This window comes from Homo sapiens, chromosome 11 (genome assembly GCF_000001405.40).
Source record: "Homo sapiens chromosome 11, GRCh38.p14 Primary Assembly".
NCBI classification, from domain to species: Eukaryota; Metazoa; Chordata; class Mammalia; order Primates; family Hominidae; genus Homo; species Homo sapiens.
Window position 1 is genome coordinate 106,798,795 of NC_000011.10, and position 13,042 is coordinate 106,811,836.

Below are 13,042 nucleotides of genomic sequence, written 5' to 3' on the forward strand. Positions count from 1 at the left end.
CACAGCCAATATCATACTGAATGGGCAAAAACTGGAAGCATTCCCTTTGAAAACTGGCACAAGACAGGGATGCCCTCTCTCACCACTCCTATTCAACATAGTGTTGGAAGTTCTGGCCAGGGCAATCAGGCAGGAGAGAGAAATAAAGGGTATTCAATTAGGAAGAGAGGAAGTCAAATTGTCTGTTTGCAGATGACATGATTGTATATTTAGAAAACCCCATTGTCTCAGCCCCAAATCTCCTTAAGCTGATAAGCAACTTCAGCAAAGTCTCAGGATACAAAATCAATGTGCAAAAATCACAAGCATTCTTATACACCAATAACAGAAAAACAGAGAGCTCCATTCACAACTGCTTCAAAGAGAATAAAATACCTAGGAATCCAACTTACAAGGGATATGAAGGACCTCTTGAAGGAGAACTACAAACCACTGCTCAATGAAATAAAAGAGGACACAAACAAATGGAAGAACATTCCATGCTCATGGGTAGGACGAATCAATGTCATGAAAATGGCCATACTGCCCGAGGTAATTTCTAGATTCAATGCCATCCCCATCAAGCTACCAATGACTTTCTTCACAGAATTGGAAAAAACTACTTTAAAGTTCATATGGAACCAAAAGAGAGCCCTCATAGCCAAGACAACCCAAAAGAACAAAGCTGGATGCATCACACTACCTGACTTCAAACTATATTACAAGGTGACAGTAACCAAAACAGCATGGTACTGGTACCAAAACAGAGATGTAGACCAATGGTACAGAACAGAGTTCTCAGAAATAATACCACACATCTACAACTATCTGATCTTTGACAAACCTGACAAAAACAAGAAATGGGGAAAGGATTCCCTGTTTAATAAATGGTGCTGGGAAAACTGGCTAGCCATATGTAGGAAGCTGAAACTAGATCCCTTCCTTACACCTTATACAGAAATTAATTCAAGATGGATTAAAGACTTAAATGTTAGACCTAAAACCATAAAAACCCTAGAAGAAAACCTAGGCAATACCATTCAGGACATAGGCATGGGCAAGGACTTCATGTCTAAAACACCAAAAGCTATGGCAATAAAAGCCAAAATTGACAAATGGGATCTAATTAAACTAAAGAGCTTCTGCACAGCAAAAGAAACCACCATCAGAGTGAACAGGCAACCTACAAAATGGGAGAAAATTTTTGCAATTTACTCATCTGACAAAGGGCTAATATCCAGAATCTACAAAGAACTCAAACAAATTTACAAGAAAAGAACCACCCCATCAACAAGTGGGCGAAGGATATGAACAGACACTTCTCAAAAGAAGACATTTATGCAGCCAACAGACACATGAAAAAATGCTTATCATCACTGGCCATCAGAGAAATGCAAATCAAAACCACAATGAGATACCATCTCATACCAGTTAGAATGGCGATCATTAAACAGTCAGGAAACAACAGGTGCTGGAGAGGATGTGGAGAAATAGGAACACTTTTACACTGTTGGTGGGACTGTAAACTAGTTCAACCATCGTGGAAGACAGTGTGGCGATTCCTCAAGGATCTAGAACTAGAAATACCATTTGACCCAGCCATCCCATTACTGGGTATATGCCCAAAGGATTATAAATCATGCTGCTATAAAGACACATGCACACATATGTTCATTGCGGCACTATTCACAATAGCAAAGACTTGGAACCAACCCAAATGTCCATCAATGATAGACTGGATTAAGAAAATGTGACAGATATACACCATGGAATACTATGCAGCCATAAAAAAGGATGAGTTCATGTCCTTTGTAGGGACATGGATGAAGCTGGAAACCATCATTCTCAGCAAACTATCGCAAGGACAAAAAACCAAACACCGCATGTTCTCACTCATATGTGGGAATTGAACAATGAGAATACTTGGACACAGGAAGGGGAACATCACACACCAGGGCCTGTCGTGGGGTAGGGGGAAGGGGGAGGGATAGCATTAGGAGATATACCTAATGAAAATGACGAGTTAATGGGTGCAGCACACCAACATGGCATGTATATACATATGTAACAAACCTGCACGTTATGCACATGTACCCTAGAACTTAAAGTATAAAAAAAAAAAAGAATCTCATAGAATCAGGGGACCTACTGAAAGTTGTTCCTACCTGCTCCACCAAAAGGTTGTGGCATATCACTCCTGTGATCAGAGCATATGCTTCTGCCAGTCTATTTCACTGTTAGAAACACGGTTTTTCTTAAGGATCTTCTACTGTGCTGAAACTATTCTTTTAACTTTTGTACAAAGATCCTCTTTAACCTCCGGGAGCCAAAGAGAATAAGTATTTATGATATCCAACACATATTCAAAAATAGTGCACATTTGTTGAATACCTTAAAAAAGGAAACCTAGTTATATTTTTACCTCTAGGGTAGAATTCAAATTGCAATTTACAAATTCATGTTCATCTTCTAATTACTACATTGAGGGCCTCATGTTTGTAACAAGGACCTTTGGCTCATAGTTCTTTTCAGCCTCATAACAGTCCTGTGACATACTATTGTTTTCATTTTAAAAAGATGAACTCTGGTAATTTGTCAAAGTTGTTGGAGAGACCGTACCAATTGATAAATGAATATCTCATTTTATGTATTAAAATTAAGGGCAAAACCCACAATTACTTTTGCACTAACCTATAGTATGTAAGTGCCAGAACAATTTTTTTGTCCTGATTCTCCATCTAGGTAATTGGAAACACTAGCTATCTGACACATGAATGATTTAAACCATTGCTTTCTAAAATTTGAGCTTTTAACTAAATCAGAACTAAATTCAAGTAGCATCTGCAACTTACTAAACTCATCTTCAAAAGGGACACTTATTATTTGATAGCACAACAGAGCCATCATACTTAATAATAATTTAATTGTACATTTTAAAAGGGTCTAACTGGATTGTTTGTAACACAAAAAGTAAATACTTGAGGGAATGGATACCCCATTTTCCATGATGTGATTATCACACATTGCATGCCTGTATCAAAACATCTCACGTACTCCATAAATACATACTCCTACTATGTACCCACAAAAATTGAAATAAAAATTTAAAAACACAGAAGGGACATCATAACACCTATTCCACAGGATTGTTCTGGAAAATAAGTGAAATATCACAGTTTAAGCACTTAATACTGAGAATACAAGTAAATGTGAATTCTGTTAGTTTCATTTTGCTTTCAGAAATTTTCACTTTTTAAATCACTGTTATTAAGTGATAAATAGTGGCAGAAGTATTTACAGCATTTCTACTACATAAAAGCATTAATTAAAGGTTTGTTTGTTTTAAAAAGGTAATAGAAACACCTCAGTTCAGTGAGATTTGCAGATTGCATTAAGGCTATCCTATCAGGTGAGTGAGAGATAGCGGTCCTGCCTAGAAAATGAATTTCCATTTTAGTAAACTCACCCTATGTATAAACTAAAGGCAAGTTGTTCATACTGTTCTGCTGAAGTGGTAGTGGCAAAGATAAATGAGCAGTTTGAGCTTACAGCTTAAATTCTTTACAGTTTATTGATACACAAAAGAGAGATACTGTGCAATAACACAATTAACTCTATAAGGCTAATGAAAATCTTTCATTTGCATCAATGGGACGGTAGCATTTATTCTTATTAGATACAGGAAATCCTAGCAATATGGACTAATCTACTAAGAGAACTTACTAGAGACTTGTATCATGAAGAAATTTCCACACTTTCTGTAGAAGTGATATACCTTCTCTTGGGATTTCAGTCTGCTCAGGCTGCTATACCAAAACACCATAGACTGGGTGGCTTAAACAACAGGAATTTATTCCTCATAGTTATGGAGGCTGGAAAGTCCAAGATCAAGATGCCAGCCAATTCACTTCCCAGGTGAGGGCTCTCTTCCTAGCTTACAAGTGGCTGCCATCTTAGTGTGTCCTCAAAGAGGAAAGAAAGCAAGCTCAAGTCACTTCTTCTTATAATGATGCTAATTCCATCATTGAAGTCCCCACCTTCAAGACCTCATCTAAACTTGATTAACTCCAAAATACTCTACCTCTAAATAATATCACATTAAGTAGGGCTTCAACTATGAATTTTGGGGGGTCATAAATATTCAGTTCATACTGTTTGTAAAAATCAAAAACACCAATCTGTTTGCAGTTGCCACCACTCTTCAGAAATTAAATATCGATAGGGACAAAAACCTCAAAACACTTTGAAAAATTCAGCAAGACACATCATTAATATTAACTTCTGCTTAGCAACTAAAAGTATTTTAGCCTTCTAACTGTCTTCAGAATATGCCACAACACTAAAAGAAATGTTCTCTGAATATAGAAGAAAAATAATTCAGGCTGCCGTATTAGAATATAAAAATAGACATTTGGGGTTCAGTTTCATAGTATTGGTCACAGACATCCCACGAGTCATTCTGGCTTTCAGAAATATTGTCATCTTTATAAATTCCATATTGTAATTCAGAGTATGCAGATGGAAGCATCTTTAAGAATCTTTGAGGCCCCATGAAGATGACACAAATAATGCATTTCGGAAAGCTATTTATCTCCCTCCCTCCTTTTATTTCTCTATCCTTCCTTCACAGTCTTTGGCATACAATGCAATTCTAATAACCTAAAAGAATAAATCCAAATAAATAAGCATTTTATCTATTTCTAGTAAGCGTTGGATACACAATGTTTATGTACATAAAAATGCCTGCAGATATACAACACACACACTCACACAGACACACGCGCTTCCCATATAGGACCAGATATACCTGTTTGGAAAGTAATAATAGCTAATATGTACATTTACTACCATGAAGGAGACACTGTTTTAAGCACTTTACATAAATCTCATTTAAAAGCTCACAAAATAAAACTATAAAGTGATAAAATTAGTCTCTTATTTACAGATGATAAAATGAGGCAGAGAGATTAAATAACCCATGAAAGGTGGAATGATGAGAAATCCAACTAGTGCACTCAAGATAGCACTGGGATTCCACAGCCTTGTCTGAATGGATTGAAAGAAACATATCTTACCCTTGCCTCTTCCTTATCTCCAACCAAAGTGCTCGCCAAAGGCAAACGTATAAATGAGGTTAAACCCTCTTCAGGTAATTTTTACAGCATTATGGTATTTTGAAACTGACAATATAACTCCTGCCATAGAAAAGCTATTGGAACAGAATGCTTATCTGTGACTTTCACCTTACTTCCTACAGCATATAAATGAGTTCTTTTCTATTCATTAAAATTGTTCTAAAAATACATGCTAATTTCCATAACATTTTAAAGGTTCTATGGAAGTCATGGCTCCTTATCAAATGAGTTGTAAATGTTTATTGAGTGAATGAATGAGTTGAATAAATTTTTGACTTAAGAAATTCTTATTTCCTAATTAGAAAACATTGTTGCTTTGTTTCCAACAAAATATCAGTAAAAGCAAATGATGTTGATGTTGATGGAGACTACTGAAGAGAACTAACATAAATCTGAAACAGTGCTCAATTTAAAAAGTGTGTGCACTGATCATTAAAAGAGAAAATATGTAAATCTTGGGGAAAAATGAAGCAGTTACTCTTTACTAAATGGAACTGGCATTTCATGCTGCAAATGACGTAAAATGGCATATACATATTTATAAAATTCCAACAATAACCTAAGTACCTAAGTACTTTGAAAGGCAACAAAACAAGGTGGAAGTGAAGCATTTCATTTTTCTGTGAAATCTATTTCATGCTGAAGTGATATCCTTGAGAATCTACTGCATTTTCTAGAGGCTGGCTGAAGGTCCAGCGAAGAAGAGAGGGCTTTAGTAGCTTCCTATCAAGTGGCAAGACAAATCAAAATTCTTGAGGCATAAAGCTGTGTAGCCCTAAAACTCTATGTCAGAAACATCTGTTTTCAGATGTTTGATGAGGTTGCCATATTCAGTTCCCCTTTGACACTGTAGACTTGTCCTGTGCACCCTCTGATTCTAAGCTTAATTCTGTCCAGGGAAAAGACTCTGCTTCTTTATCAAAGTTTGTACTGATACCCATATTTATACTTTCTATCTAGACATGTTGCCTGGTTTCCAGTTCCTATCATCTAGTCCCCTTGGGCCCACTCATATTCCCTGTGAGTGAGCCTGGATTTCCTACTTTGCTAATTGGCCTGAACTCTGCTTTTCCAGCTAGGCTTATAATACTTACATTTCCTTGCCAATATGAACTTTGTGTTGTTGTTTTTCAGATTTTTAACATCAGGTTCCCTAATGTAATAGAATTTGGGTCCTGGTATTACCTGGTTGCCCTATCTTGTCTTACTGTTCCTTCTTCCCAATCTAAACCTGACAATGTTTAATGCCATGGACATTTGCAAACCACACTTAGAGGCTGTGATGGGAATACTCCCCCTCTACCTTTACTCTGACAGAGAAAACTATTTTATCACTAACATTTTTTTTTTTTTTTGAGACGTAGTCTCACTCTGTTGCCCAGGCTGGAATGCAGTGGCGTGATCTCAGCTCACTGCAACCTCTACCACCTGGGTTCAAGCAATTCTCCTGCCTCAGCCTCCTGACTAGTTTGGATTACAGGCACCCACCACCATGCCTGGCTAATTTTTGTATTTTTAGTAGAGACAGCGTTTCACCAGGTTGGCCAGGCTGGTCTCGAACTCCTGACCTCAGGTGATCCACCCACCTCGGCCTCCCAAAGTGCTGGGATTACAGGCGTGAGCCACCGTGCCTGGCCATCACTAACATTTTTAGAGTTACCTGGGTAAGATGATTTTTAAAACCAGATCAACTTTTATTCCACTTCACTGTTTAAAAAATATACCTCTTATTGCCTGCACCTGGGACCACTGCTCCCACAATGCCTCTTTTGGTATGCCACTTTCCATAGGAGGAATGAAGACAGAGGTGCTGGCTGGTTTCTAACAAAGAGAAAAGATGGCAGACGGGAGAATCTCCTACTTTACAGAATCAATAACTGTAGTTATACTGTCATGTCATTTTTAAACAGTTTCCACTCTTTGTTTCTATCATTTGATCTTTGTCTAGATCACAGCCTAAATTGTACAAAAACTATAGGCTTTAGAATCAGACAAGTCTCAGTTCAAATTCTGACTTGTGAGCTACATTATCTGGATTTAACCTTTCCAAAACTCAGTTTTCTTATCCGAAAATGTACATAATGCCACATGTTATTCAAGGAGGGATTATATGAGATCATATTTTATTCTTTTCTAAAAAGCTCTGGGCCTACTAGGTATGTGTGTATATATACACACACACACATACACACACACAAACATAATCACATAACACACATCCCTGTATGTCTAGATAGATACACCTGTCTGAGAAGTTCTAATGGCAGCTAATATTTACATTTACTACTATGTACCAGATGGTATTCTCAACTCTTTATAGGAAAGCTCACTGAAATGCTTATGATGTAACTGTGAGACTGATGCACTGAATATCTTTATTTTATGGGGTATAGAACTGGAGAAAAGTCAAGTTAAAGTGCTTAAAGGTGAAAAGATGGGGATGCTAAAGATTGTATTTAAAATAGCACTGGAACACTGCAACCATGGCAGAATGGAATCAGAGAAAGGCAAAGTCTTTCTCCCTGCTTATCTAAAATCAAAGGCTTTCCCAAAGACAAATGTAAAACAAAGCAAAATGTACATGAATTTGCTTCAATAGTCAATGCCATTATTATTGTTACTATTTATATGCCATTGATTTACAAAATTAGATACTGGTTCTTTATGTTCATGTGAGAACAATCTGAGAAGCAAAATATTACGTATGTTGTTTATGTTGACTTTTACTGAAAATTTGCCTTTCTAATTACAAGAGAAACAAAATTATAACCCAGGCTTTCTTCAATTTGCCTAGCTCTTACTTAGTATTCATACACCTGTAACATCTTGGCAGTTAAGCATTGGAAAGGCTTTCATTTTCTCAGTGCTTGATATATGCACAGCAAAATCCACAGCTTCTTCCTCAACCCTCTAGTTTATAGATAGCTTGATTATTTTAGCAGAATGGTCATATTATGTCTTAATTTATCTGAATTCTACCACTGAAATTATAATTCTTCACTCTATCATCTGCCTGATGATAGGAAAACATGGAGTAATGACATGAAGAAGAGAGGGGCAACCACAAATTTAGAGACTAGTATCTCATGTCGTAGCACACTATGAAAGCCCCATGTGGGCCACTCCATCTAGTTCTTTTCTCTTGGCATTTAGTTTTACCTGGCTTCCTTTCACATTTCTAACATAAAAGGTGGGCTGTACCTTATTTTTCTCTGTGGTATGGTTATTCTACATAATTACCCAAATTCTATACATACTTTCAATCTAGCAAAACTCTTTTCATTTCATAAAATAAGACTTGTGGTCCTTACAAAAAATTCTACCACCTCTGGGATTCTTTGTTTCAATAGCCATTAAAAATCTGGCAAATAGTTCATGGTTTAAAATAGCACTGTGTGTATTTTCTAGAAAATACACTAGAATGTTTATGAAGATTACAAATCAGGCTGGTCAAATAGAAGTTTTCTAATTTATATCCCTCCTAATGCATTTCTCCTAATGTACTTTTTTTATCCTATACAGGACTAATATCATTTTGTCTTTCCCTCTCTGGCCAAACCATTACTGCTATGGATTTAGCATATATTGTATTTCCAGTCTGGATCTCCCAAACTCAACCTCCCTAATCCTGAATAAGCAGCCAAAGCTGCCCTATACACCTATCCTAGATACATGTACTTACTAGCTGTGATAGTTAATATTGAGTGTAAACGTCATTGGATTGAAGGATAAAAAATATTGTTCCTAGGTGTGTCTATGAGGGTGTTGCCAAAGGAGATTAACATTTGAGTCAATGGACTGGGAGAGGCAGACCCACCTTCAATCCAGGTGGGTACCATCTAATCAGCTGCCAGCGTGACTAGGATAAAAGCAGGCAGAGGAATGTAGAAGGACTAGACTGGCCTGAGTCTTTTGGCCTTCATCTTTCTTTTGTGCTGGATGCTTCCTGCCCTCAAACATTGGACTCCAAGTTCTTTAGCTTTTGGACTCTTGGACCTACACTAGTGGTTTGCTCAGGGTTCTCAAGCCTTCGGCCACAGACTGAAGGCTGCACTGTTGGCTTCCCTACTTTTTGAGGTTTTGGAACTCGGACTGGCTTCCTTGCTCCTCAACTTGCAGATAGCCTATGGTGGGATTCCACCTTGTGACTGTGTGAGTCAATACTCCTTAATAAACTCCCTTTCATATATACATCTATCCTATTAGTCCCATCCCTCTAGAGAACCCTGATTAATACACTAGCATTGAAGATATGTTAAGAACACCAAGGCCTGGAATCTTTAGTTGTAATTAATTGCAAAATTTCCTAAACAAGTTTAGTTTAAGAAAAGTTGTGAACTAGAATTATTATATGTGTGTGTGTATATATATATATTTATATAAACATTTTGTAAGTTAAAACTTGTTGATTATTATTCATGACTATATGAAACTGTCCACGGTTTAATAATATATAGGAAAATTTGAAGATCATACGGAGTATTTCTACTGTTTTTCTGTGAGATGTCCTAACTCACAAGGGAATGAATGCTTGATGTCTAAGAAATCAAATCATATTTTAAAACCTTGAACCTGTTTTGGCATACTCAGAAGCATCACATTTCTTCTTTTCTCAAAATCTAACTGATACTTATGTTTGTCAGGGATTCCCATGTTTTTTCCAGAGAATAATTTATTTATCTATTATCATTCTCATTTAGTTGTATGAACTTAGGGCTAAAACAAAACAAAACAAAACAAAAAAAACATGACTGCTTTAACTGGAGGAAGCAAACACTGCAAATCAGTAGTTTAGAGGGAAAAGATTGGTTGTGGCAGAGATTGGTGTAATAGTGCCCCAAGTATGGAGGAAGGAAAGTGATGCCAAATTCAGCTGATCTCCTCTGTCCTGGAAGTGACAGTTTAACATTATAGTATCTCTCCGGTTTAGAATCAGACATTTGGCTACCACTGCTGTAAATTATATACCAATAAATTATAAGGGAGTTAAAGATAATTTATAAGAACTTAATTTTCTGTAACAAGGAAAATCCCTTATACATACTTCATACTGAATGTTTACCACTCAGAAGAGATTCAATTAAAATATTTAACATTGGCTACATAGTCTACATAATGAAACTAAAGAGCTCATTTCCCCAAGAAGACACACCTTCATAAAAACACCTTCTGGATGATAATATAAAATTTACAAAGTGAATCAGACAAGTTCTTTCCAAATCTGCTTATGTGAAGATCATACTGTAAAAATAAGTAGCTGGTCAATATGTATTAGTAAAGAAGAAAATAAAACCTGCAGCTCACAACTATTTATACTAAAAGTACTTGATTCCCTTCATATAAAAAAAGCCCTATGCCCTGACATTGTGCAATCTACGTAAGATTCTAGGTAAAGTTGTAGAGTTATTGATTAGGTAGATATGGAGCTAAATGACTCAAAATATTGCTATGATCTTAGTAAGAAATTAATAAGGAGTTCACCAAATCAAACCAACCATGGTGGTTGGCACCAATTTTGGAAATTTTTCCATTATGTAGCTTGGAAAATTAAGGTACTTCCTCAAAAACTCATTAGTCATTTGAGCAATAGCTAGAGTATTTATATATAGGTTTTTTTAGAATTAAAGAGATCTCACTTAATAATGCAGTGCAAAATACTGATTAGCCATATTTGACAATACAATGCATATTTTAATATAACTTGCTATTTGTTTTTAACTGTCAAAATAAAATTCTTAGTTTATATTGGAACCCCATTTTCTAAGCAAGAATAATTATGTGGTAAAAAGTTACCTAGAATTCAACAAGTTTAATTTTTTAATAAAAATAAACTTAGAGGAGTAGCTATATAGAATTTTTCCTTACTGAGCAATATCATGATTCTTCACAGTTATCTATGTCAACACAAACGAACTCATATTGAAAGTTTACTCATAAAGAAGAAATACCTGTATTATCTATAAAATTTCTAAATTAAAGAGTTGTCAATTATTTAGTATCAAGTTTAAGTAAAAAAATCAATTTAATTCACATGACAATTTACTATTAAAAAACATTTATATGTAAGTAACTAAACTCCCTTACCTTATAAATATCCAAAAATCCACACTGGTGGTCAAATCTGGTGTACAGTTCATTCAGCATGCTGATTACTTGCATGGGAGTACACTGGGCACATATGGCTGTGAAGCCAACAATGTCTGAAAAGAGCATGGTGACATCATCAAACTTTCTGGCCTGTACTTGCTGCCCTTGCCATAATTGCTGGGCTACATCACCAGGGAAAATAGAATATAGAAGATCCACTGTCTTCTTTTTCTCTTCTTCCAGGGCCTGGTGAGTTCTTTCTAAAGTTGCCTTTAATTTATCCATCCTTTTCTTCAACCCATCTTGGGCCTTTGCCTGCTCACCAACCAAAATGACATCTCGGGTGGCATCATGGATAGGGATGTCTGAGAGATGTAGCCCTCGGCCCATGAGTTCATCCAACTTGTCCACACATGGAGAGCCCAAAAATAAAATGGAATTTGATTCTGGAACATGGATCATTTGTCCTTTGACTTCCATCACCTGTGAAATTAACATGGAATTTTGATCAGTACTCTTCACATAGTAGGTTCACAAAATTTAATATATTATCTGATGAATAGAAAGAAAAAATGTTTTATTAGCAATACTGAGTTACTGCATTCATATAAGCAAATTTAAATCTGATTTTCAGCCAGTTTAAAATTCATGGTTCTGAAGAGAAACAATTGTTTTATATCTCACTCAGCTACTTTCTAAAGACAATAATGAAATGGAAAGTGAGATCAGTGAAAAATGAAACAGGAAAACATTTTTTATTCAAGATGATACTCCAAGGTACATCATGAAACTGGTTTATGAGCCAATTCAAAAGCTTTCAGCCTACTAAATAATAATGAAAATATGGTAAATCCATCTGTCAAAATAACTATATTTAACTGTCATTAAAATAATACCCCTTTCAGAAAATAAATCCAGGAGGTTAAAATGAATCAAAGTAATTGGCCTTATGTAAATCATTTTTCAACTATTATAGTACTTTTAAAATGTACTAGTCATTGCACTTGTTAGGTTAGTGGACAGTTCTCTTATTCTTAAAAATAAAAATATAAACCAGATATTAAGCTAGCATTATCAGAAAATATCACTCAACTAGCATGTTCATATAAGCTAAAAATAAATGAAAAAATAATAATTATAATACTAAAGGAATTTGGGTCATATGATAAAGAATCTGAGGGTAAAGTAATTTAAATCTATTCCTCTTTTCTATGCCCTTTCACTGGAGAATTTAGGGAACTGAGATTTAATGGGAAACTTAGTGAACACAAGCTTATGCCCAGTAGCCTAATGAACACCTTCAGAGGGCATGAACAATGAACACCAGTAGAAAAGGAAGGTGGAGCTGGGGTATGGCTACAACTATAACTATTTGGATTGGACTAAGGTTAAACTAAGCACACCTGGAGAAAAAGCCAGTTGCAATTACTTAGAAAGAATAGGCTAAAAGTTGACCAGTTGGGACTGTGCATCAGTTTCATCTATGTTCCACTACTACATGGAATGTGCTCAATACATGTATTTTCCTGTTTTCTTTATAGCTAAATAGTTAAGCTAGTTGATAAAAACTGGTGGCACTGAACAAATATGGAATAAACTATTGGGATCTGGATTTTTAAGTCATTAATATTTTTACTTTTCTCCCTTGTACCATTCACCAAGATCTTGTTTATATAAGAAAATAAAATGGAATCTTGCTTGATGTTATAATTTTTATGGAATTAAATGCTCACTTTACCTTATGTAAAATTTCTGCTAAAGTTCAGTATTTCATCCTTTTATTTATATTACTCTTATTTATTCACTAAAATATTGATTATTTTCTATTTACTAGTAATGCT

The 13,042-nt window shown here is 35.6% G+C and overlaps 1 protein-coding gene across 2 annotated transcripts in view; it reads right to left on the reverse strand.

Moving 5' to 3' along the window:
- The window catches only part of GUCY1A2 (guanylate cyclase 1 soluble subunit alpha 2), a 344,458-nt gene that overhangs the window by 124,776 nt on the left and 206,640 nt on the right, over positions 1–13,042 (reverse strand). For both annotated transcript variants that reach the window (NM_000855.3, NM_001256424.2), the window contains exon 5: positions 11,199–11,684. In NM_000855.3, coding sequence (NP_000846.1) covers positions 11,199–11,684 — 486 coding nt within the window. The remainder of the gene's footprint in view (positions 1–11,198; positions 11,685–13,042) is intronic.